The sequence below is a fragment of the Homo sapiens genome, chromosome 11, assembly GCF_000001405.40.
Source record: "Homo sapiens chromosome 11, GRCh38.p14 Primary Assembly".
In the NCBI taxonomy this organism is placed as follows: Eukaryota; Metazoa; Chordata; class Mammalia; order Primates; family Hominidae; genus Homo; species Homo sapiens.
The window spans coordinates 8,789,868-8,816,168 of record NC_000011.10 but is presented as its reverse complement, the minus strand read 5'-3'; the positions used below and the strand labels follow the sequence as shown (position 1 = coordinate 8,816,168).

Genomic DNA, 26,301 nt, shown 5'->3' with positions numbered 1-26,301 from the left:
ATTTGAAATTAGACTGCCATTTCTTAGGCATTCTAAGATCCAACCAATAATATTGAAAGAACAGCCCATTTTACTTGAATTTCTTTGATCCCAAAGTAAGGAATGACTTGAAAAGATTTACTCTGTTCCTGTGTTTTCAGGTTCAGAATTTCAGTTGTCTTTAAAGAGACAAGAAAGTACTATAAACCCCTCTAGTGACCTAATCCAAAATCCGATTTACATATATGTATTTTCTTGTACAATGTAGGTCCATCCACTCAAATTCCCTCACCTTAAGAGAGGAAATAGCTGTTTCTGTTTGTTTGTTTGGAGAGTCTTTTCAATGATTCGTTTATCTCACACACACTTATTGCATACATTGAATGAAATACTAAAGTGGATACACCTCGAGGAGCTCAGGTCTGTGGGGGAGACAGGTGTGCAAGTAACAGTGATAAAGTGATATCAACGCTATAGTAAAGGCATCTTTAAACTGCTGTTGATTTGCAGAAGAGACAAACAGATTCTATCAGGAGATTGAAAAATATTTTACAGAGGAGGTGATAAATGAGTTGGACCTTGAAGGCAGTAAGATTTTGTTAGTGGGGGAAGGAGAGGCATTCAGATAAAGGTAACAGCATGAGCCATAGAGGGAGGGAGAGGAAAATGCAGGCAGTGTTCAAAGAACCAGGCAGTGCACTGTGGTTGTGCCTGTAATCGGGTGGTTGGTAGCAGGGGAGGTGTGGGCAAGAGATGAAGCCAGAGGATTTCAGATTTGGGTGGGAGCGTAGGCCAGAAGAGGGAACGTTGGATGTAGTCACACTGCTGTTGGTGTTACTTAGACCTTCATTTTTCCACCAGACTGTAGTGTTCAAAATTCTTTTTAGTAAGAGAACCCTTTTTTTCTGAACTTTTTACAACCATCTCCAAATTATGAAACATAAGACTTTTTTTTTTAGTAAAAATGTATTTTTTTACAAGCACAGTGTCTTGCACCATGGAGGGGAGAGGAGGTGTTTTGTCCTTGGAGCTGCTGGCCTGAGAGAACCTTGTCATCGTGGGAGCTGGGCCATTCCTACACAGTGGTCTGGCAATGACCCGGTGGTGGTGGAGGCCTGTGAGTGGGCACTGGTAATGGGAGCAGCTGTAAAACCCTGGAGGGCAGCCCCAGGAGAGTGACCTTACCAGGAAAGTTCTGGGAAACAAACCACAGGGAGGCTTTACAGGAATTTTTGGTTGTGCCCACAGGCAAGGCACATGAGGAAAAGAAATGTAATTATAGTTTGTAAGTCGATGAAAAGAGGCAATGAGTGACATGAAATAGCTGCTCTAAGTTTCTTCTTCCTGTCGGACAGGAAGAAATGGGGTTTTATGCATTTCATTCAGCAGATATTTATTGAGTGCCAGCTGTGAGCTGGGCCCTGCACAAAGTGCAGGGAATATTGGTGGTTAGCAAAATAGTCAAGGTTCGTATCCTAAGGAACTCTTCTGAGGGAAGACTGAGATTAAGCAGATAACTGTATAAATGCATAATTACACAGCATGGTGAGTGCTCTGAAGGATAAGTGTGGGGAGCCTCATTTAGATTGGAGGATTGTGAAAGTCAAGAGACAGGAGAGTCAAGGTGAGGCAAGGTGAGTAAGAGCTATCCAGGCAAAGACTGCTTGGTAGGGGAGTGTCCCAGCAACGGGAAACAACCTGGAAAAAATATGACACCTCAGGGGAACTAAAAGCAGTTGTATGTGGCTGATGCACAGACAGGGAAGGGCAGGAAGTGTGCTGAAAGAAGGCAGGAGGAGAATCATGCTGGGCCTTGTAGGTCCTGGTAAGAAGTTAGATTTTATCTTAAGTGTAGTGGGAAGTCAATGAAGTGTGTTAAGCAGGAAATGACCTGATCTGGTGTTAAAAAAAAAAAAAAAAAAGGTGATTCAGACAGCTCTAATGACTTTGTGAGGGGAGAGTGGAAGCTGGGGCAATTAGGAGGTTTTTGCAATAATTAAGGTGAGAGATGGGTAGCATCAGAGGTGGAGAAAAGTGGACAGATAAAAGATATATTTTGGAAGTAGAATTGTTTGCAGTTGGGAAATGGGTTGGATGTGGGCAGAAATAAGAAGGGAGAGTTGAGGATGTCTCCCAGGTTTCTGGCACATGTATGCTTGCAGGCCTCTCAGTAGACAGCAGAGAGCTTATATAAGGTTGTCAAATCCTTATCCTTCAGAAGGGTCAGGTAGGATTGGTCTAAATCCAGCCTTGCAGAGGCAGTGGTGGGATTCAGCTGTCCCTGACTCTGCCCAGTTCAAGGAGTGTGTACACAGTAGCATTACCCAAGCAGGGATTCCAGTTCTCTCAGTAATGGGGCCCTTCCTTTGTCCCTTCCCCCAGGACAAGGCCCTAAGGAACCTCCATAACTCCAGCATGCCACTAGGGGGAGCATGGCCCGCATTCTGGGTCTGGTTTGGAGGGCTTCTTAAGTTTGGATTACTTCAGGAACTGACTTGTATCAGTTCTAGTACTCAGTCCTGACCCCTGGCCCCTCATACTGCTTAAAAGAATGCCTGGCATATGGTAGGTGCTCAACAAGTGTTAACTGATGTTACTACTGTATTATTAATATTATCTTATTATAGAAAGGGGTGGGATCACCCCTTCTTTCTCAGGATGGAGACTGGGCAAGTGGAATGTGCATTTTGAGGATCAGGAGGAGAGCAGAGGGATGCCTTTTGGACAAGGAAGAGGCGGAAATTTAGTGATTTGATGATACTGCATTTGCCCTTCTGTCTTGTCTTTCTTTGTCTTTCTTTGTAGACTTGGGATTCTTCAGCTGGGGCTTGGGTGGGGTTGGGGATTTATAGTGGGTGATTAGGTTCACTCCCTTTCAAGCTCTGATTGCTTCACTAAAGCAGTAGTGCCCCCCATTTAGGATTTGTGCCATTCTGTCATTTCCTGTTGGATTTTATAACACTTTCCTACCTTAACTTCTGGTATATATTTACCTTTTAAACTCAAGTCAATCAGAATCTTGTTTTGAGAATGTTGTGATATGCTGGAAATTAATGAAAAAAACCCACTAGATTCTGCATAGGATGTTGCATTAAAGATTCTATCAGGCTGGGTGTGGTAGTACACACCTATAATCCCAGCTACTCAGGAGTCTGAGGTGGGAGGATTGCTTGAGCTCAGGAGTTCAAGACCAGCCTGGGCAACATAATAAGACCTCGTGTCAATAAATAAATAAATAAATAACATCAGGACCTTTTTTTTGGGAGCACTGTTTTTGGGAGCAGCATTGGAAAATATCCTCCTTAAGCCTCAGTGTCCTCATCCTGGGGAGGGTATTAACTGTCCCAGTGTTTTTTGTTTGTTTTTGGTGAGGAGTTGTCAAGAGGAGTAAAGTTCTTAGTTCAGTTCCTGACTTGAGAGTGCTTTCACGGACAGCATCTCTTCCGATGCTCAGTCCCAGCCCTGTCAGTAGGCTCTGTAGGTGGAAAGGGGGAAGTCATGGGACTTGCCCAATGGCACATGGCCCGTTAGTGGTGGAGTCAGGCACTGCCAAGGTCTTCTGACCCCTGGTGCTGTTGCAACCACTGTGCTTAATGTACTCAAGAGACTTGAAAGGCTTGGGGATTGTTTCTAGATTTTATTTCCTGGTTCCATGACCTGGGGCAAGTAATTTTACTTCTGTTGTAGAATTAAAAAAAAAAAATCTGTTAAATTAGTATAATAATGCCAATCCTAACTTTCAGACCTGTCATGTTGAACAGACGAGCCAAGATTTTGAGAGTCGTTTAGAAAAGTGCAAGGTCACATATAGCTGTAGGGTAGGGCTTTTTCTCCGAGCTGTGCATCAGGACGTTTTACATCTTAGAGATGCTGTCTTAAGGTCTTTAGGCTGAAAGGATGGTAGTCAGCCTATCTCGCCACAACTTACAAGGATTCTCCACCTTCCCTTGGGAGCCCAGCGTTATCTCATAACCAGTTATCAAAAAGTTGACAGTTTTTGAAATCAGGTGGCAATATACTTTAGTTGAAAGTGTGCTGGACTAGGGCGAACTTGGCTGATCTCTTAGTTCTTTGACTGCCTAACTGTATAAGTGCAGATCAAATGTTTAATCTCTCTGAGTCTCAGTTTTTCCATCTATAAAATGGTCATAAGGCCAGTATGCTGGCTCACGCCTGTAATCCCAGCACTTTGAGAGGCTGAGGCAGGAGGATTGCGTGAAGCCAGGAGTTCAAAACCAGCCTGGGCAACATAGTGAGACCCTGTCTCTATAAAAATAAAAATTAAAAAAGTAGCCAGGCGTGGTGGTGCATGCCTGTAGTCCCAGCTACTTCAGAGGCTGAGGCAGGAGGGTTGTTTGAGCCCAGGAGTTTGATGATGTAGTGAGCTATGATTGCACCAATGCATTCCAGCTTGGGCAATGGAGCAAGATCCTGTCTCTAAAAGAAATTTAAGAAGAATAATAAATAAACTTGAAAAAATGGTCATAAAAATATCTGTGCAGTGTATTTCAAAAGGTTATGAGGATCAAACAAAATGATACATGTAAAAAGAATGTTACAAAGCAGAAATGTATGCTGGGTAGGGGGGAGAGGAAGGGACAGGATGGGGATGGGGATGGGACTAAACTTAGGGGGTCTGCCGTGTCCCAGGGACTGTGCTCATTTTCTGACAGGAGCAATATTATTACCGACTGTGACAGCAGCTCCCACTAAGCCTGCACCTTAGCTGCAGATCCTTAGCAGGGCAGAGAGACAAGGCTGTATTTGTATCAGGTTTGTCGTCTGGGTTGTGACTCTCGACTTGCCCAGGATTCTTCCTGGTCCTGACCGAGTTGTCTTTGCTCTCCATTTCAGGAAGATGAGAGACTGCTTAGGCGCCACCACTAGTACCATGAGTCCCTGCACTGGTTAAAGCCATCGCCACAACCTGGACAGGCAGCAAGGTAAGCAGAGAGGCCAGTCCAGGCGAGCTCCTGGGATGTGAGTGCATTTCCGCCCCAACTGCTGCCCGGAAAAATCCCAAGTGCACAAACAAGTCAAGGCAGCGCATCAGGGTCCCTCCTACCCGAGCTCCAGGACCCAGAGGAAGCTGGGTCCCCTTCAAGCGCTTCAGCTAGCTCCCTCCCCCCTGGCAGGGATTCTTCCAAGTTATAAAAAATGAGACACTGGAGGGGAAGAAAACAAGTCCACTCACTGTCTTCTCCCTTCTCCCCTCTGAGCTGTTCAAGCAAGTTCCCAGGAGCAGTTCAGAGCCCCTGTTGGACTGGAAGGGAGGTAGGAGGAGTGGAATGCATGCAAAAACCGAGCTGATCAAAAGACAGTGCTGTTTCATGGAAGCCTCCCAGAACTGAGAGAGAGAGAGAGAGAGAGAGAGAGAGAGAGACAGTGAGAAAGAAAGAAAAAGAGAGCGCCCTTGTGCACGCGCTAGGCCAAGAGCGCGCCGCTGTGCGCGCGCCCGCCTAGCGAGGACAGGGTCTCCATGACAACCGGCCTGGCCGGCTAGCAGTGCTCTGCTCACTTGGCTGCGAGGAGCGCCACGAAAGGTCAGAGGAAGGAGCTGTGGGAAGCTCGCAGCAGGTATCGGAGCTTAAGCCAGTGGATTTGGGGGCCCTGGGCTCCCTAGCCGGCTGCGGTGTGAGAATGGAGTGGGCAGGAAAGCAGCGGGACTTTCAGGTAAGGGCAGCTCCGGGCTGGGATCATTTGGCCTCCTTTCCTGGCCCTTCTCTCCGGCTGTTTTCTGGGAGTCAGGCGAGTGTCTGTAGTCTCTGCTCGGGGTTTGGGGCTCAGGAATGATGTCATGCTCCAACAGTTGGATTCTATTAGCTTAAGGAGGAGGGAAACAGCCAATTTTCTTGACTTTGCAAATCTAGCTGATCTCACTCTTGCTGAATCTGAGGTGTTTAGACTTCACTCTAAAAAGCATCATTTTACTTTTATTTAGCACAAAGGCACAGGATATTTTTACAGGAAGAATCTTTTATATGGAAAAATCTGAGTTAACATCACTCCCGTGGTGTTTGTAGTTCTTACAGGGAAACTCCAGTGCCTTTTGAGCCGCTTGTTCGTCCTAGTGAACACTGTCTGTTTTGTCTCTTGGTGCTGCTATGTCTGACCTGTAATGGAAAAAAAAAAAAAAAAAAGGCTAATTAAGCTCAGCCAGGAGCCTGTGGTGAGTTCCAAGTCCCTCTAGAGCATTTATTAGGACAGAGGGACTGTCACAGGGATGCCTGAGCTGGGGTTTTGCACTCTCTCTCTTCCAGGCAGCTTGGTAAGAATCAAGCTGTCCTCCCACATCAAAAGGTCGATCACAGACTTTCCTAAGAGGTGGAGGAGGGGGCTGGCTTGGGGTTGGGGGGCCTGCAAACAGGTTTCTCATCCAGATGTCCCAGAGTGAGCTCTCAGCAGCAGCTGCTAAGAGCTGGGGAACATGAGGCACTGTAGTTGTGCCGGGTGGATTCCTTTGGTTACATTTTGACCAAATCTCAGGGCACGCAGTGTCCACGCTGTGCACTCCTACACTGATTGTCCTAAGTTTTGGTAAAACTTGTTCTGACCTAGAGGAGTGGTACATGGTGAGCTGTGTGGCCTTGGAAAGGAGACCCTCCCAGAAAGGCAGTTTTATAGGTGATAGGGTAGTGGGGTTGTCAGTAATATTATGAGGAGGATGAATGCAGCAAACACTTCCTGCAACGGAGACCCATCAGGGGTTGTGCTTCCACTTGAGCCATGTTATGTCTTAAATTCACTTCTTGGCCTCAGGGAACTTTGCAAATGCCTTTGGTTTCTCTGTGGGATGAGGGAACAGCTGCTGTCCTGGTTCTTCAGTTTTTCTTCTTGAACTTTCTGAACAGAATGTCTTTTGTATTCTGGCAAACAATGAGGGGGCATTCTGATTAACTTCGGATCAGCTTGCCAATGCAAGCACTGGCCATGTCCCCAGTTCCGGCTCCCTAAAATGAGTACATGTATACATCGTGGTTGTGGCCTGAGGGTCCACAAGGGTGAACTCCATGGCCCTGGACCTCAGACGGTCCACTTCTGAAGTTATTCCTCTTGCTACATACACTCCAGGGATCCTTTGCTTAGTTGAAACCTACATTTTGCTGGAGGGATGTGGCATAACACTGAGCCAGTGGCCCCTTCAGTTGGCAGTGTAAATCCAGAACCTCAGCCTTCTTTTCTACTTGTGTGTGTAGTTGGAGCTCTTCAATTTTACCATCCCCACATCTGTGAAGAGGGCTAGCAGAGACCCAGTTTCAGGAGCTGCTGCTCCTTCTGTTGGTATAGCAGAAAGAATAATGGATTTGGGTTGCTAGACTTGAGTCGACGGCTAGATTCTGTTCCCATAGGGCGGCCACGGGCAAGTATCTTAACTAATAGGAGCTTCAGATTCTTACCTGTGAGATGGAGGTAATAAGAACAACTTCACAGGACTGTTGGGAGGAGCCAGTGGGATAACTTCCATGAAAGTAGTTTGAAACAAGTCACGTCCTATCTAACGAACCGTGTTGTGAATTGAAGCTTGAGGAATGACCCAACTCTCTCTGGAAAGTCACTTTGCCTCTCTGTTCTGGTTCTCTCATTTTATAAAGTGCCTTCTTCCTTTCTGCATTTATAAGTAAACATGAGAAAAATCTGAAAAGACTTCTTCAGGATGTTTAAGGAAACAAATGTTGCTTTCCTTGGGTTGGGTCGTTTCATAAGAGTGATGTTTGCCATAAAACTGGAGCCTCATAGACGATCCTGCAGGGAGGAAGCTTTCCTTGGTCACCTGACTCATGTGTTTATATATAGTATAGAGGAGAGGTATTCCAAAAGACCCGTCGCTTTTCCTGTGTCCCACAGCTGCCTGTAGAGTTGTGGCACCATAAACTTTAGCAGCTGGAAAAGAGGCCAGGCCTGGTTCCCTCATCCTGCTGGGTCCTGCTGGGCACACTCTGCAGTGGGCAAAGGGGTCTTTCTCCTTCATTCTGGGTTTAGAAGGCAGGGTTCTAACTGGGAGAAAGTGTTATTGCTCCGAAAGGCTTCTTGGGGGCTGGGCAGGTCTTTCAGGAACTCATAAGGCCACAGCTTATGGGGAAAGAAAAAGAAACAAGGAAGTGGGAATTCCAAGGGCAGAGATTCTTGATATGCCATGGGACTGTGCCAAGGAATGGAAGAGCAGGGGAAGGGAGACTCCAGGCAAGGAGAGTCCCAGGTCTGTCCTCATTGAGTCGAAAGGGCGTATGGCATACTAGAGCGCGTCACCCACAGCCCCAGCTTTACTGTAGGATGGGGAAGACCTGCCAGCCATATCCCGGAGTGGTGTCTGGGAAGAAGCCCTTGAGCAGACCCATAGTAGGCAGATTAAAAAAATGAAACAAAACAAGCAGCTCCCCTTCTAGTTGAGTCATGTCACAACAGCCTCTAAGGCCTGAAGGAGAAGCTGCCCACAGCTTAGATTGGGGCTGCAGCTGTTCCCCGACTCCCATCAGTCCGGCTTCCCAGAGCTGAGTCACAAATTGGATCTGTCTATGTTCCTTAAGGATTAAAAAGTAACATTCCTGTTCTCACTCCCTCTTTCCTCCTTCTACTCCGCTTCCTGTACCTTCTCCCCTTGGGCTCTCTCTCTCTCAAATTAGATATCAGTCACCCCGGGAAGATGAAACTTTGAAATACACTGGAGAACAGGCCAAGGACACCCTTGGTTCTGCTGGTTCAGCCTCTTTCCCTGGAATGAAGGGCGGGGTGTACAGATTCAGGAGGGCAATCCAAGTATCATGGCCCCACTGGTAGCCTAGACCTAAGAGAGGCTGTGCCCCACTCCCCACCGCATCTGATTCTAAGAACTGCATTACGGGAGGTCCACCTGGCACCTCAGGGAGATGGGAGGCTCTGAGGCCTGGGCCTTCTGAAGCACCTCCCTGTGGGGCAGTTGGGACTGAAGGATTGAAGAATACATCTTCCTTCCTGTCACTCCTCTTAGCTGTTAACTGTCATTGCCCTGGAAACGTCCCCATTTCCATCGTTGGGCCTAAGAGAGTCGGCCGAGGCAGCCAAGCCCGGGGAACACATAGTTGAGGCTGGAGGAGGCCTGGCAGCAGCCCTTCCGAGCCCTGGCTTGGCCTTCCTTCTGTGCCTCTGCATGGGCTTGGGAGGAGGGTGTGTTTAGGGCAGGCTGCGAGGAGGGGAAGGGGAAATCTGCAGGCAGATAATTGAGTTCTTTGAGTTGGAGGGACCATGGAAAGTGGAGAAGGGGCCAGGAGGGCATAGAGCGAAAAAAGAAAAAGAAAAAAAAAAAAGACCATCTGGCATAGTCTGCAGAGATTTGTCTTTAAAGCCTATGGGAAAACTTGCATTAGTGTGTGCCTTCTCCTGGGGAGGCAGGGGCTGGGGAGGCTAGGCATTTGTTTCATCCTGGAGGGGAGGTGCTATGTGTGTCTGTCTCAGTAGGTGGGTCGGAGGAACTACTGGGTGCATCTGTCTTAGAGGAATATGCCACGTAATATTGTGCTGATAGAAACACCTGAGCTCTCTATTTCTAGCCATAGGCCCCAGAAAGCTCTCCTGGGTGTGTGTGTGTGTGTGTGTGTGTGTGTGTGTGTTTTGAAGGGAGAGGAGGGTGTTAAATGAGTCTAGATTACCTTATTGAAGAATTTCTCCAAAGACCCCTTCTCTTATTTTTTTGGCTCTGATGTCATGAATGTACTGTTGTTGGGGAGGGTGTTGAAACTATCACTATACTCTTCTCATCTAAAACTGCCTGAATGTTAGATTTCACTGTCCTTATAAAAGAGTGAATTATATGCAGTTAGCGTATGAAGCCTTCTTAACCAAAGCAGACCTATTCCTACAGGCTTGTCACGAAACCACCACAGTTTCTCAAAGCTCCAGACTCTTCCTCTGTGTGACCTGTCATCACCAAAGGGGTTGTGTGTGAGCTGGAGATGGACTGTTGGAAATCACATAGTGGATGGAGGATTATTTGGAACTGGGAAAAAATGAGATAAACTGAGGGTTACGGGAGACAAGATCTGAGGCAGGAGGAAGACTACTGGAAGGAAGCAGGAGTGAGGCACTGGGCAAGGGGCCCTGGGCGGAGGCAGTTCTCAGGAGCAGCAGGTGGTAATCGAGAGAAGGGCTGACCTCGGAGGCCTACACAATTTAGCAGAAGGCCAGACTGCCCCCAGGGAGCTCAGGGTGACAGTGTCGTGCAGGCCCTCAGAAGCACTGGAGGGGGTAGGGGTGGCTGGCATTAGGGTTAACACCTCTGTTTGTTTGTTCTTGGCTCAGAGGTGTCTCTGGTGCCCATCTATGCAGTATTGGTCTGTTCACCCATTTAGTCAGTGAATACGGAGTGTCTGGGCCAAGAGCTGGGGAGGAACGCAGAAGTATCAAGTATGGGCCTTACTCCCATCTATGTCATGTTATAATAGACGTTGTGTTGTAGTTATTTCTTCCCCTCTCTCCCCCACTCTGTCTGTGTGATTAAGAGAGAAGCAGCATAGACCTGCTGCAGTTCTGAGTTTTGATGGTAGGGTTAATGACCATCTCATGCTCTTAGGCTGGGAAAAAGGAGGAGGGTCCAACAGACTGATTTCAAGCACGATTCGAATGAAGGAAGAGAGCCAACTGAAGGACTGGAAGTAGGAGGGTGAGGATTCTAGGCCTGTGTTGAAGCTTCTCTTGACAGTGTCAAAGGATGGTGTATGTGGGAGGGAGTCATAGGAAAGGGGAAATGGGAAAGTTGGAAAAAAACTATCAAGTCAGCTATTTTTAAAACTCTAGTTTTGTTCGAGGAACTGACTTTTGGTGTGCTTGTGACTTGGAACACAGGCTACCTTATGGAGTTCTGACAACTGAGTATTGTAGATGGTTTTAAAATGAACTAGCCTGTGGTGTGTTTGTTCAACTCTCAGTGACTCTTAGGTACTCAGTGAGTGCGTGGTGCTGCCTTAGAGCAATTCTGATGGAACCATTTGCATTTAATATGAGTATCTGACATGCATTGCAGTGCACTGCAGTGATGAACAGCTATAGCTCAGGGGTCTTAGAGGCCTAGCTTTAGAGCCTGACCTTGCTGTGTGACCTTGGGCAGGTTATTTAATCTCTCTGTGCATCAGCCTTCTTTGAGGCATCTGTAGAATGGATGTAATAGTACTTGACTTGATAGAGTTGTGGTAAGGATTAAATGAAATGATACCTGTAAATAGGCCAGTGCCTGGTACATAGTAAATGTCCAATGCTTTCCAGTATATTATTATCAACTTACAGCAGCATTTTGAAGAGAGTGGGCTGGTGTCTCTCAAACAGGTTGATGTTACTACGCTGGGAACAAACCAGATTCTTCTTTTAGAAGTAGCTGCTGGTTGGGCGCAGTGGCTCACGTCTGTAATCCCAGCGCTTTGGGAGGCCGAGGTGGGTGGATCACTTGAGGTCGGTGTTTGAGACCAGCCTGGCCAATATGGTAAAACCCTGTCTCTACTAAAAATACAAAAACTGGCCGGGCATAGTGGTGTGTATCAGTAATCCCAGCTACTCGGGAGGCTGAGGTAGGAGAACAGCTTGAACCTGGGAGGCGGAGGTTGCAGTGAGCTGAGATCGCACCACTGCACTCCAGCCTGGGCGACAGAGCAAGACTTCGTCTCAAAAAAAAAAAAAAAGAAGTAGCTGCTATTTTGCATCTCGTTCATCTTTCTGTCAAGACCCCAGGTAGTCTGGTCTGGGGTCTGTGCAGTCCTGGGTGTGTAATAATACAAGATTTCCTAATAACACAGGATTTCCTCCCCACCTCTCAAAGCTGCTTGTGTTCAGTTCCTGCCACTTGACAGACAGCTCCCCATGTCTTATGGCTGCTGCATCAGGCAGAATGATCAAAGAAAGGGCACAGGGAGCCATGGACAAGGTAGGGAGAGAAAGACAATTGCTTTGGAAAGTCACCAGCAGCCAAGGAGGACTGCCCTTTCAGACCTGGCCTACACGTTAGGAAGGTACTTGAGAGTGTCCTTTAAGAGGAAGGAGTAGGGGCCAATGAGATTTTGAGGACACGGCAGCCGCCCACACTGGAGAGGCCAGAAGTCCTGAGTCTGAGGTAGTCCTTGTCAACCCAGCTTCACAGGTTCAGCTCTTTCCTCCTGCTGTGGGATGCTCACTCCTCACAGACGGGGAGACCCGTCCATCCAGAACTGCTTCTCGCCTGCCCCTTTCCTGCTGGCCAGCCTAGGTGGAGCCCCTGAGGTCTTTCTCAGTGTGGTATTGGAGGCCCTTCACAAGCTGCTCTCAGTGCTCCAGACCCCGGCCTCTGCCTCAGCCCTCCTTACCCCTGCTTCCACAAATACTGCCCTTGTACCCTTCCAGATGCAGCTTAGAGCATAGAATAGGCTTTGCAGCCAGCTCTGAGGGTCCATAGTCTGGTTTTTCCTCTATCTGTGGACCTCTGGTGAGTTCATCTCTGTAAACCTCTGTTTTCATCTGTAAGTTGGGAGTGATAATATTACCCACCTCAAAGGGTTATTGTAAGGTTTCAATGTGTTAATTTATGTAAGGCACTCGACTTAGTTGTAGACACAAATATGCTCTCAATAAATGTTAGCTGCTGCTGTTGTTAATAATCCATCCTTCCTGTGAATTTCTCTGCCTACATATAGCGGTAGAAAGTCCCAGCCAGGTAGTCAGCAGGTCTGGATGTTAGTTCTGGTTCTGTCTCTAATTTGCTGGGTGATCTTGGGGAAGTAACTTGACTTCTCTAGGGTTCAGTCTCCTCTTCCAGAAAGTAGAAGGCATGGATTCAGTGTTCTCATTGACATCCTGACTTGACATTTTTTTTGAGACAGAGTCTCGCTCGGTCGCCCAGGCTGGAGTGCAGTGGCATGATCTTGGCTCACTGCAGCCTCCACCTCCCGGGTTCTAGCGATTCTCCTGCCTCAGCCTCCCCAGTAGCTGGGATTACAGATGTGCGCCACCACACCTGGCTAATTTTTGTATTTTTAGTAGAGACGGGGTTTCACCATGTTGGCCAGGCTGGTGGCCAACTCCTGCCCTCAAGTGATCTGCTTGCCTTGGCCTTCCAAAGTGCTGGGAGTACAGATGTGAGCCACCACACCTGGCCCTGACTTGACTTTTCAAATGTGTATATCTTGTGTTTTCAACTAGATTCCTTGAAGTTGTATGAAATCAAGTATAATATTTTATACTTTTTATTTCCCCAAATGGCTAACATATATAGTTGGTGCTTAAAAAATATTTGAGTAACTTTTCTTTAACCCCATCAACCAGATTCTAGGAAGCATTTTGACTTGGTTCTCAGAACTCGGAGGCTGGAAGCTTGTTCTCCAATGCGTAGGGCAGTACAAGGAGGCCTCAGCCTTTAGTAAGTAAGAAGGTAGGTTTCTCTTGGTGCCCTGGGAAAATTTTGGTTAACAGATGTTTGGGGTACTTATTTGTTTGGCTCTGTAGCCTTAGACCAGGTCTTTGAATAAATATTTCCATCACTGTTTCCTTTTCTCAGTGGCGAAAAATGCCAGTGTTTTCTGAGCAATCCCCTCTCCTTTAGAGTTTAGGGTGAGCCAGTTAGTGCCCAGACGCAAATCTGTGTCTTAGGGGAAGAGCCATCCAATAGGAGAGTAATGTTTAGAGCCTGGGCTCTGGGGTCAGATTGGGTTCAAATTCTGCCTCTGCCACCTAATAGCTCTGTAACCTTGGACAAGTTACTTGTCCGTGCCCTGGTTCCTCTTCCGTAAAATTGAGGCAGTGGTAGCATTATCTCATGGGGCTGTAACAAAGCCTAAATGCCAAATGTAAAGTGCCTAGAATAGTACTTCCTGCCTCCTTGCTGAACAAAATGTTTGCAGTTATTGTTTTGTTTATTATTCTCTTGTAAACCAAGTAGTGTTTAGTTCCTTTTTTTTTTTTCCAGACAGAGTCTCACTGTCGCCCAGGCTGGAGTGCAGTGGCACGATCTCGGCTCACTGCAACTTCCATCTCCTGGGTTCAAGTGATTCTCCTGCCTCAGCCTTCCAAGTAGCTGGGACTACAGGTGTGTACCACCACACCCAGCTAATTTTTGTATTTTTAGTATCGATGGGGTTTCGCCATATTAGCCACGCTGGTCTTGAACTCCTGATCTCAGGTGATACACCTGCCTAGGCCTCCCAAAGTGCTGGGATTATAGGTGTGAGCCACTGCACCCGGCCCTTTTTTTTTTTTTTTTTTTTTTCCCCAAGAGAGGGCCTTACTGTGTCACACAGGCTAGAGTGCAGTGGTGCGATATTGGCTCACTGCAACTTCTGCCTCCCTGGCTCAAGCGATCCTCCCACCTCAGCCTCTGGAGTAACAAATGTGCACCACACCTGGCTGATTTTTATAATTTTTTTTATAGAGATGGGGTTTCTTCATGTTGCCCAGGCTGGTCTCGAACTGAGCTCAAGTGATCCGCCCACCTCGGCTTTCCAAGGTGTTGGGATTACAGACGTGAGCCACTGCACCCAGCCTCAGGAGTGTTTGTTTGTTTCTTTCTTTCTTTTTTTTTTTTTTTTGAGACAAAGTCTTGCCCTGTCACCTAGGCTGGAGTGAAATGGCACGATCTCGGCTCACTGCAACCTCTACCTTCCGGATTCAAGTAATTCTCCTGTCTCAGCCTACCGAGTAGCTGAGATTATAGGTGCATGCTGCCATGCCCAGCTAATTTTTTGTATTTTAGTAGAGACGGGGTTTCACCATGTTACTCAGGCTGGTCTCGAACTCCTGAGCTCAGGCATTCCATCTGCCTCGGCCTCCCAAAGTGCTAGGATTATAGGCGTGAGCCACCACGCCAGGCAGCTGTGTTTATTTCTTTGTGGCTTGTCTGTTGGGTTTGTTCTGCTGAGAAATGCAAGGCCCTATCCCCTTCTTCTGTGTCTTGGGCAGACGGTATCAGCAGAGCAGTGATAAGCGTCCCCCAGTCAGCATATAGATCGGAGCTCCTGTACCTTGCTTTTGTAAAGAAATTATAAACCAGAAGGGGAGTCTGGCTGAATCAAAAGAGCCTCTAGGCTGAGCGGGCCCCTCTCTGAGGAGTAATATGTGTTGTATGAACAACAGGGATAGGGACATGGCAGACCCAGTGTCAAAGAGCAGAATGGGAATTGGGAAGGCTGATGGGAGGGTGAGGGAGATAGACGGCTCTAGATAGTGAAGTGGCAAATGTCTCTGGGCATTTGTGGCTAAGGCAGTAAGAGGCATCAAGGTAAGTTCCTGGTACTTCATCTTCCCAAGAGATAGCCTGATCCCAGCCCCAGGTGAGACTTGCCCCAGCAGTCTCACTCCTCTTTCAGAGGAGTGGTGGATTGGGATGAGGAGGTTCTAATCTGTTTCTAAAGAGAATGAATAGCTCCTTATCTACAAGTGTAAATTATAAAGAGATTTTCTTTTGCAACTTCAGGGAACAGGAACTTTTGCTGCCAAATTTAGCAATGTGTTTTAAGTCCCTCAAATCTTCTTTGAGTGCTACCAAAGCTCTGAGCTTTGTTGTTATCTCTTGTTGAAATACAGCCTGGAAAGGTCATATCAACAGTGCCAATTTATGGGCCTGCTGAGCCCAGACAGGCCTAGGGCAGAATAGGGAGTTCCTAAGAGTAGAGGCTTCACAAATTTTCTCTTTGAGTGAGGGTGTTTACAATGTAAGGTTATTTTTGCTTTAGAAGACCAAACTCTAGATGATGGTCAAACATCCTGTTCTTCAGCTTTTTTACTTCTGCAGGCTTCCACAGGCAGGGGCTCAGATTCGACAGTAGCTCCTTGTAGAACCAGGAGAAGCTTAGCCTCGATGGTGCATAGAGCTCCCAAAACTGTGCCCCGTACTCCTTAGTGGAGGTAAGTTTCCTTGCAGAGTTATGCTGGAATCTCCCTCCCATTTAGTTTATTAGCAATTTGTGACCTAATATGTGTTCTGATGGAGTAATTAAAAGATGGTAAAGGCCGGACACAATGCAATGGCTCACACTTATAATCCTAACACTTTGGGAGGCCAGGGCAGGAGGATTGTTTGAGGCCAGGAGTTTGAAACCAGCCTGGGCAACATAATGAGACCCCCATCTCTACAAAATAAATGAAATTAACCAAGCATGGTAACACATGCCTGTAGTCCCAGCTACTTGGGAGGCTGAGGTGGAATGATTGCTTGAGCCCTGGAGTTCAGGGTTATAGTGAGCTATGATTGTGCCACTGCACTCTAGCCTGGGTGACAGAGCAAGATCCTGTCTCTAAAATAATAATAATAATAATAATAATAATAATAATAATAATAATAATAATAAATACATGGTGAAGACTGAGGACTGTAGACACTACACGTGGAACTTTGTACTCATTTGCAAAGACCTTAGGACAAAAAGGTCTGACTTGTGTGTATATACTTTGCCACTTAGCAAAAAGGAATGCCAGTAGGGAAAGGAAATTAAGGAACTTGAATGACCCCAGCAACTATAAAGGAGTGTGCTCTGGTTTTGGGCACCTGTAGTCCCATCTGCTTAGGAAGCTGAGGCAGGAGGACTGCTTGAGCCCATGAGTTTGAGGCTGTCCTGCGCAATGATCACACCTGTGAATACACACTGCACTCCAGCCTGAGCAACATAGCAAGACACTGTCTCTTAAAAAAAAAAAAAAAAAAAAAAGAGAAAAAGGAGGATGGTACATGAGTGTGAGAAGAAAATAGCTAGGACATGTGAGACAAGCTTGGCAATGGCAGTGACCTTGGTTTGCAGTCTGTGGCTTGGACTCTGGCTGGTATGTTCTGAGAATTGAGGCTTTTGAATCTAGAAAGGAAAGAAAATACTGAAGTTTCTTATGTTCTCTGCCTCTCTCCAACCTCCTGATTGACTTATCCCTTTGGGTTGAAACATAAATGGAACAGGTAGCACTGTCCTTTCCGAGTCCCTGCCTCTCTGCATTTGAGTCATCACTGATGCTCAGGGTTTGCTCTTGGCTTGGCTGTGCTGGGAGAGCCAGTTGTGAAGATATTGGAGGTAAGAAGGGCTATTGGTTTTGTCAACTGAACTCTAATAAGTACCCAGGGGGAAGTGGCAGGGATCCAGGTTAAAAAGAAAGCAACCAGGGCAGGGTGCAATGGCTCAGGCCTGTAATCCCAGCACTTTAGGAGGCTGAAGTGGGTGGATTACTTGAGGTCAGGAGTTCAAGACCAGCCTGGCCAACATGGTGAAACCTTGTCTCTAAATACAAAATTAGCCGGGTGTGGTGGCCGGTGCCTGTAATCCCAGCTACTTGGGAGGCTGAGACAGGAGAATTACTTGAACCTGGGAGGCGGAGTTTGCAGTGAGCTGAGATTGTGCTGTTTCACTCCAGCCTGGGCAACAAGAGTGAAACTCCGTCTAAAAAAAAAAAAAAAAAGCAACCGGAAATTGTTGTTTTATTTAAATCTCATTAAGTGGAAATAGAAAAGCCTTTTTATTTTCTTTCCTACCCCCTCCAGTTGCAGGACCCACAACTGTTTGGTAAACCCAGGTGGGTTTTTTTTCCCTCCATTTAGATGTAGGTGCCTATTCTGCTTATGTGCCCAGATGGGTTTTCAAAGCAGTGATATCCAGACTTCTTTTCATCTGAAAAACACCGAAGGCCAGATGTCTACATGGCCTTGCAGGAAGAAGCTGAGCTTCTTCTGGAAAGCTGTAGAAACAAAAAAAGGCGGTGGAGACTGCAACACCTGTGCCATCCTCCTGGGTCCCTGATAGCCCTTAATGTTTTGTCATTGGGGGGGTTGGGATGGCTTTTATTTTTTGGTGTTCCCCAAAAGTTAATCCTCAGTCTGTTCTCTTTTTAATTTACAATCTTTCCCTGGGATTCCATCTTCTACTGTCACCAGTTAGAGAAAGCGAAGGAGTGAGGGGGAATCTAACTCTGCCTCTCTTGCTTCGGAAACTGAATGTATTTATTCATCCAATAAATATTTATGGAGCATTCCTTCTGTTCTAGGTTTTGTTCTGTATGCCGAGGAGGTAGAGATAACTAAGACATTGAAGTCCTTGTTGTCATGGAGCTTGACGTGTAGTGAGTGGGGAAGCATTTCAGTAAACAAGTAAACAAATCAATAGATGAGATCAAGATAGTGCTGTGAGCTCGGAAGGATATAATGGTGATGTAAAAGAGAGAGTAACAGGGACCTGAGAGGTTAGAGAAGGCCTCTGAGAATGACGTTTGAACTGTGAGCTCAAGGATGAGAAGAAGCCGTTAATGTGCAGATTTGGGGAAAGTTCCTTTCTGGAAAAGGGAACAGCTGTCAAAGCTCCTGAGGTAGGAAAGAGCTTGACATGCAGAAAGGACACCTAGGAAGTCATCATTGTTAGAATGTAGGGAGCAAGGGGGTGTCGGGGTGGAGGATGGTGGCACAACTTGGGATAAGGTATGGAAATTTGAGAGGGAGAGAGAGGAACATTGAATCTGATGGAGAAGAATCAGGAAAAAGAGTAGGGTGCTGGGCATGGTGGCTCATGCCTGTAACCCCCACACTTTGGGAGGCTGAAGCGGGAGGATCGCTGGAACCCAAGAGTTTGAAGCTTCAGTGAGCTATGATCATGGCACTCCAGCCTGGGCAACAGAGCAAGACTCTTTCTCAGAGAAAAGAATAGAAGAGAAGAGACAGAGCAAGACTCTGTCTCAGAGAAGAGAAGAGAAGAGGAAAGGGGGAAAGGGGGAAGGGGGAAGAGGGAAGTGGGAAGAAGGGGGAAGAAAGAAGAGGGAAGAAGGGGAAGAAAGGGGAAGAAGGAGGAAGAAGGGGGAAGAAGGGGGAAGGGGATAAGAATATGAGGAAACAGAAGGGATCTGAAGTGGGCATAGACATACCTGCTTAGCTAAGGAAGTCGAATTAATATAGTCTGCATACTTCTTGGGATCAAGCACTATGTATTTTTAAATTTTCTGCAGATTTTAGGTTAGCGGTAAGACATTAGTGTAATGTTTACTCTGTTCTAAGCATTGTGTTATACTAGGCATTTTTATTTCATTGTTTTAGTAAATCCTTACAATGATCTGTGAGTTAATTTGTTGATGTTGTAACATCTGCAGGGATGTGGAGTAGCTAACTTGCTTAAAATCTAAATCTAAGGCTGTTTGATTCCAAGCATGTGTTCTTGCCACACTTCCACTCTGGTTGGTATATCAAATGCAGCTCTTCTTTGGTTATCTAGAACATCTAATGAGTTTTTTCCTTTGTATCACTATGTGTTATTTATGGTCACATTTTGAATGTTTGCAGAATTGAATGAGTTTTTTTTAGCTTTCTCTGAAAGGGGTACCTGGTTAAATACTGAGAATGCGAGTCCATATAAACAACTGGGGAGGGTGGGGCTGTGGCAAGACTTGGAAGCAGTTAACCTGACTTACATCTCTCCCTCTGGGCAGGAAAAAAATGGCCTTTCTCCTTAACGCTCCATAAGTAGTTAGATGTCTTAGATTGCAATTCCCCCTATTGTATAAGAAGATGGAATTTACTTTTGGAAAAAGTAAGTAATTTGTCAGTAAACTAGTGTTTGTAAATAAACCCTGATTTCCTAGCGTACAGATCTCTTCTAGAGTCTTCAAGTTTGTTGGAAATGTTTGAGAAAAGAAATGTATCAGGCCACAAATTTCACTTCTTGGAAATTGAACATTGACTAGTTTCTATGGGTTGATACTTCTTTTTCTTTTTCGAGATGGATTCTCTGTCACCCAAGCTGGAGTGCAGTGGCATGGTCTTGGCTCACTGCAACCGTTGCCTGCCTGGTTAAAGCCATTCTCCTGCCTCAGCCTCCCATGTAGCTGGGATTACAGGCACACGCCACCATGCTTGGCTAATTTTTGTATTTTTGTAGAGAGGGTTTCACCATGTTGGCCAGGCTGGTCTTGAACTCCTGACCTCAGGTGATCTGCCCACCTTGGCCTCCCAAAGTGCTGGGATTACAGGCGTGAGCCACTGTGTCCGGTCCATACTTCTTTTTTTTTAAAGGTTTGATCCTGTTTGGATTCTATCAGTAGTGAAGGCCCGGGATTCTGAAATGAAAATGTATGCAGTGTTTATAAACTCTCATTCCTTGGTGTTCATGAGATCTGTGGTCAGCCCAATCAGCCTGCTTAGATGGAATAGTTTGTGAAGGGCAGAGCAGGGTGAGACTGAATTTCAGATTTAGCATAGATTGCTAGAAAACAGAGGAATTTCTTTGGTAAGTCACTGGATTTTGCTTTCCTGTCTCCCCTTCCCAGTCTGTTTCAGTAACAGACTTGCTTCTGAAGGAAAGATAATGTAGTTGGGAAAGGTTCCTTTACAGGGTGTTGTTCAGATGGTCTTCATCACTGATTCACAATGAGCAGACATTGAATGGTCATCTGCCATGAGCAGGGACACACAGATGGGTTGGAAGATGAGGCTGGAAAGACTGGCTGAGGTCAGATCTTTAAGGGATTGAACCATCCAGAAAGCGGGGAATCACTTTCCCCAGGAAGCAGGAAGGAAACACATTTGAATATGATTTGTAGAAAAGAAACCTAGGAGACCATGTAGAAGATGGAAATGGAGTGGGAGGAAACTTGCCTATTTTATTGGCTGTAACTGGAGGATGATATTCCAGTCCCTCAAAATTCATTTAGAGCAGAAAGTAAGGGAAGTCTCAGGGTGGGCGGGATCAGAACTCCAGATTGCAGAGCTTTCTAGAGCCCGTAGAGCAGTGGTTTTCAGACTTGACTGTGCACCAAACTCACCTGGAGAGCTTGTTAACCAATTTAGTAGAAATTTTTTAGTAAAAATTTGCATTTTTAACAAGTTTGGAAGTGATGCTGCTACTGTTGGCTGGGAACCCCACTTTGAGAACCACTGCTTAAGAGGCTTGGCAGCTGAGATGCCAATAAGGGTATGAGGGCCAGATGTTAATTGGCTTGCTTTCTTTTACTGACCCAGAATTTCATGTCTACAAAGCTTTACTTTAGATGTTCTTAGGTGGCTTACTCTAAAACATCAACAAAGCCTGGTAAAGGTCCATGCTCTCAATGACTCTTCTCACCAAATCCGTATCACTTCTGGATGAGATTTCCAGGTATGTGCTCGTCTTTAAACAGATGCTTGTCTGATTTTTGGAAAATGCCCATCCTGGGCACTTGATTTCATTAGGATTGGTGGCATTTCTGCCAGGAAAAGCTTCCCCCCGCCAGTCAGCACTACTACTGGCTGGCAGGGCTGTTTCAGGGACAGCCAGCAGGGGCTGCACAGAATGTGTTCTGTTGATTAGCCAAATTTACACAGGACATGCCTGGGAGATTATCTCTTTAGGCCAGGAGTTGAATTTCAAGGGCAAAGTCCACAGTTGGCAGCCGAAAGGCTGAGAACACCTGGAAGAGGGGAAGGATTTCACTTGACTTTCACTTCCCCAGGCCTCAGTGCCTCTTCCCACAGAGGCTGGGTTTTCTCCTTGTTGCTGCCTGAGCAGGTGACCTTGGGATGGTTCCCACAGAGCAGTGTGGCTCCAGGCACTGCCCTTTGCTGTCTACTTCAGCACCTGTGGCTTCAGGTGAGACACTTGCATTAGTCAATGTCAGCTGCCCTGTCCTCCTTGGCATCATCATTTCTTGAATTCTTTTCTGGGCTTGCTTCTTTCTTTGCGGGGAAGGCCTTCATTTTCCTTCATAGTCCATGACTCGCAGGTTTTCCCCGAGCTCTCCTTTTCTTACCTTCCTTCATTAGTTCAGTACAACTGTAGAATTCTGTTTCAATGTAGGAAGGGAGACGGCTACCCATACATAGCCTGAGACAACCCACCTGGGGCTCCTGTAGCCTCAGTGCTGTCCCCGGGGTGGAAGGACCACGTGGGTGGGTCCACACAGCTGTCGTCTATTTTGCGGATGCTCACTGGGAACTTGGATTCAGTCCTAGGTGCCTGGGAGTTGAGAGGTGAGAATACAGAGTGCTCAGGGTGGCAGAGTGGGGACTGGGACTCAGGTCTTCTCACCTCTGCCCATTTAGGGCCTTGCTGTGTATGTAACACTGAAACTGTGTTTCACATTAGCAGGCAGGCATCAAACCGTCTATCTGGCTAACTTTTGTTTAAGACATTTTTTAAAATAACAAAAGCAACACCAGGTGTTCTAAAAACTTTTGCAAAATGGGGAATACGTAAGGCAGAATATGAGCATCTTCTATAAACCCATGCCCCAGAAAAATAGTTATTGTTAACAGTTGGGTAGCACTGGGTTTTTTATTTATTTATATTTTTTATTTATATATTTAAACTAACATCCTTGAGCCATAAAGATTCTTTAAATGATGCATTTTTATGTACATTTAGTTTTACACGAAAAGTTTATGCTCTTAATTTAAAAAAATGGAAAGTAAGAAGTGTTGGTGAGAATGTAGAGAAGTTAGAATCCTCATACATTGTTAGTGGGAGTGTTAGCGGTGCAGCTGCTGTGGGAAAGTTTGATTATTCCCCAAAAAGCCCCAAATTGCCATATGACCCAGCAATTCCACTCCTAGGTATATGCCCAAAATAATTGAAAACAAGGACTCAGATTCTTGCATGCCAGTGTTCATTGCAGCATTATTCACAGCAGCGAGAAGGTGGAAACAACCCAAATGTTCACTGACTGACGAATAAACAAAATGTACAAACAATGTGCAAAGAAAATGTATAAACACAGTAATACAGACTGTGGACTATTCTTCAGCTGTGAAAGGAAGGAAGTTCTGATGCATACTACAATGTAGATAAACCTTGAAAATGCTGCCCTAACTGAAATAAGCCGTATATAAAAGCACAAATATTTTGTGATTCTGCTTATATAAAATATCTAGAAAAGGCAAATTCATAGAGACAGGAAAATAGATTAGAGGTAAACCAGGAGCTTGGGGAGAGGGGAGAATGGGGAGTTATTGCTTAATCATTGCGGAGTTACTGTTTGGAGAAGTTTGGGAAATAGTGGTAATGGTTGCACAACATTGTGAACATAGTTAATGCCACTGAATTGTACACTTTTAAATGGGGAATTTTATATACTTTACTGCAATTAAAAAATGGAAAGAAAAGATTATACTGTACTGAAAAACATATCACTTGTAATTTACCTAGGATATTTTTCTACCTCAGTATGTGCTTTTAAGGAGCAGCATTGCATTTCTTCAGAGGGATGTATCATAATTTATTTAACCAAGCCCCTTTTGACGGACAATTGAATTGTTTCTCAGTTGTTCCTGTTATATGCAGTACTGTAATGAACAGCAGTATCCAGCTGTCTTTGCCCATGTGTCCTAGTACTTGTATTTTATTTCCTTAGGCAGAATTCCTAGAAGGAAAGATTTGCTGATCAAAGGGTGTGCTCATTATAAATGTTAAATTGCCAAACTGCCTTCCAAAGAGGTTGCATCAGTGTACTTCTCATCAGCAGGGTATGGAGGTGCCTCTTTCCACTGCGCCCTGGCCCAACACAGGTGTTATACATTTTTTTACTCTTCGCCAATCTGATAGGTGAAAAAGGATTTCTTATTGTTACTTTATTTAGGATGTCTTCAGTTATTAATGAAATTAGCATCTTTTTATCTTTCTGGTAGTTGATTTTATTCCTTTGTAAATTTTCTGCTCAAATACATTGTTAATTTTTCTCTTTGGTCACTATTTTATCTTGTAGACTTGTGAGAGCTTTTACATACATACGGCATTAGGACTCTTTGCCATATGTGTTGCTGATAATTTTTCCCCCAATAAAAATTTTTTTTGACTTTGTTTATGCTAATTATTTGCCTTTCACATGTTTTACATTTTTATTTAGGCAAATATTTTCCTTCAAGGTGCTTCCCCTCATCTCGCTTCTCGGCTGTGGAGTTGAATTTTCTGTCATACTTGGAAAAATCTTCTTCACTTGTCAGAATCACAAAAAAAAATTTATTCATGTTTTCTTTTAGTGTTTTCTTGGTTCCAGTTTTTACATTTAAACTGTAATTAATTTTGCTGTAAGGAGAGAAGTAGTAACTAAATTTTCTTTATTTGTGTGTGTGTGTGTGAGATAGCGTCTCACTCTGTTGCCCAGGCTGGAGTGCAATGGTACGATCTCAGCTTACTGCAACCTCTGCCTCCCGGATTCAAGCAATTCTCCTGCCTCAGCCTCCCAAGTAGCTGGGATTACAGGCACCCACCATCATGCCCAGCTAATTTTTGTATTTTTGTAGAGACGGGGTTTCACCATGTTTGCCAGGCTGGTCTTGAACTCCTTGACCTCAGGTGATCCACGCGCCTTGGCCTCCCAAAGTGCTGGGATTACAGGCATGAGCCACCATGCCCAGCAGGAATTACATTTTGTTGATAAGAAAACCTAAGATAACCTTTTTTTCTATTAAATTTTTTCTTTACTAAAAATTTGTGAACTTCTTTTCACTTAAGGATGTACCATAACAATTAAAAACATTTTCTGTGACATTAAAGAAATATTCCTTTTTTTTTTTGAGATAGGGTCTTGCTCTGTAGCCCAGGCTGGAGTGCAGTGGCATGATCTCAGCTCATGCAACCTCCTCCTCCCAGGTTCAAATGATTCTCATGCCTCAGCCTCCCAAGTAGGTGGGACTACAGGCACATGCCACCATACCCGGCTAATTTTTTGTATTTTTAGTAGAGATGGGGTTTCACTAGTTGCCCAGGCTGGTCTTGAACTCCTGACCTTGAGCGATCCGCCTGCCTCGGCCTCCCAAATTGCTGGGATTACAAGGTGTGAGCCACTGTGCCTGGCTTAAAAGAATATTTCTGATTAAGTTTACAAAAAAAAAGCCTTTAGTGAGAGAGGCAGATTAAAAATTTCACCCAAGTCTTCTGATTCCTAATCCTGTTTTTTGTTTGTTTTCTCTTATCCTATATACGATACAACCAGATTTCTTTTGTTAATGTTTGGGGATAGTTGCATGAATCCCCTTTGCAAAACTTTCCAGTGCTTCCTATGTGCAATTGTATTGACATGCTGGACCTAGATCTTGTGACGTAGAAGCTTCTCCCTTAAAAATTTTACCTGCTTTGATGAGCTCACCCTGGCTGAGGTGGCAGCAGGTGGGCAGCTGGTACTGAGGAGAGGCAGTAGGCCAAAGTCTAAGCAGGTATTAAGACCCAGAAAGGGTGTGGCTTTTGGAGAAGAGCAGCTTGAAAGGTGTGAGGAAATGGAGCTGCTTTGGGAACAGATTCAGGAAGGTTTTTGAAGTGAGAGAAGGAAAAGAAATAATGTTTATTTAGTACCTACTTATGTCCCAGACACTAAGCTAGTCAGGTCCCACCTAACTGTATTTTAAAAGGCAGCTTTTAGTGCTGGATCAACCTGGGGTTGTTTTTCCAAGGGTTGTGAACTTGCGAACTCAGAAAAGAAAAGTTAGAGTTTAGGAGACCGAGAAAAGCAGGATTTAGCGAGCATCATTTCTGCTCCATCAGCCAGGGGCTTAAACAGAATTTTTCTTTGAGACTGCTCTCTTTCTTTGCTCTGTTGCACGGGCTGGAGTGCAGTGATGCTATCACACCTCACTGCAGCCTCTACCTCCTGGACTCAAGTGATCCTCCCACTGCAGCCTCTGGAGAAGCTGAGATCATGGGCACGAACCACCATGCTTGGCTAATTTTTAAAAATTTTGTAGAGATGGGGCCTTGCCGTGTTGCCGAGGTTGGTCTCGAACTCTTGGGCTCAAGTGATCCTCTTACCTCAGCCTCCCAAAGTGCTGGGATTACAGGTGTGAGCCACTGTGCCTGGCCCAGAAATGTTTTTAGTAGAAATAGGCTAAGTAAGGAAGCAGGAGAAACCACTTCCAATCAGCATACATTCGTTAGGCCCCTGCAGGACCAGCGCACAGACATATAGCACTTACCTTCTTGGAACTTAATAGTTTAATGGACAAGACATATGAAAAGCCAGTATACTGCATTGCAGTTTATGCCACCCTAGATGTTTCACTGGGAGGAAAGGATTAATTGAGTTACTGGTGGGAGGAGAGTGGGGAAAAGGAGGGCATGGTTTCACAGAGGAAATGGTGCTGGTACAGATTTTGAAGGAGGCATAGTTCCTTTATAAGGAGACAGGGCAGGGAGGGGCATTCCAGGTAGAAGGATTTGCATGCACAAAGACAGGAGTGAAGCTGTAAGTGTAGAGTGTGCAGGGAAGTCCCAGTTGGTCGTGTTTGTTGTCCTTGGCAGGGTAGATTGAGGAGTGTCAAGATAAGACTCCAGAGACAGGTCTCAGGGCTGGCTCTTGAAAGGCTGGATTTACCAGTGTCCTGCCTACCAGACCACCCCAAAACATAGTGGCTTAAAACCACAATACTTGCCTGGTTCTGGGGTTGTTGCTCGGGGTCTTCTTGGATAGTTTTAGTTAGAT

At 45.5% G+C, this 26,301-nt stretch overlaps 1 protein-coding gene and 1 long non-coding RNA gene across 25 annotated transcripts in view, besides 2 other annotated features; one reads left to right on the top strand and one right to left on the bottom strand.

The window, feature by feature from the left end:
• DENND2B (DENN domain containing 2B) overlaps positions 1-26,301 on the top strand; it is a 217,600-nt gene that overhangs the window by 94,783 nt on the left and 96,516 nt on the right. For 16 of the 24 annotated variants that reach the window (NR_164816.1, NR_164815.1, NR_164817.1 and 13 more), the window contains exon 1: positions 5,495-5,652. The gene's annotated coding sequence lies outside the window, so the exon portion shown is untranslated. Of the gene's footprint in view, positions 1-4,833; positions 4,923-5,494; positions 5,653-21,324; positions 21,483-26,301 lie in introns of those variants that run through there. The other 8 variants (NR_164822.1, NR_164814.1, NM_005418.4 and 5 more) reach the window with 2 other exon arrangements.
• The window catches only part of DENND2B-AS1 (DENND2B antisense RNA 1), a 41,499-nt gene continuing 21,090 nt past the window's right edge, over positions 5,893-26,301 (bottom strand). Inside the window, exon 5 of the long non-coding RNA NR_120590.1 lies at positions 5,893-6,092. This is a non-coding gene — a long non-coding RNA (DENND2B antisense RNA 1). The remainder of the gene's footprint in view (positions 6,093-26,301) is intronic.
• Positions 9,572-10,071: an enhancer, noted in NCBI's record as "H3K4me1 hESC enhancer chr11:8827645-8828144 (GRCh37/hg19 assembly coordinates)". NCBI's record gives its function as "activates a minimal SCP1, AML or CMV promoter by ChIP-STARR-seq in naive H9 embryonic stem cells {active_cell/tissue: H9 hESC(naive)}" and the evidence as "EXISTENCE:reporter gene assay evidence [ECO:0000049][PMID:30033119]".
• Positions 10,072-10,573: an enhancer, noted in NCBI's record as "H3K4me1 hESC enhancer chr11:8827143-8827644 (GRCh37/hg19 assembly coordinates)". NCBI's record gives its function as "activates a minimal SCP1, AML or CMV promoter by ChIP-STARR-seq in naive H9 embryonic stem cells {active_cell/tissue: H9 hESC(naive)}" and the evidence as "EXISTENCE:reporter gene assay evidence [ECO:0000049][PMID:30033119]".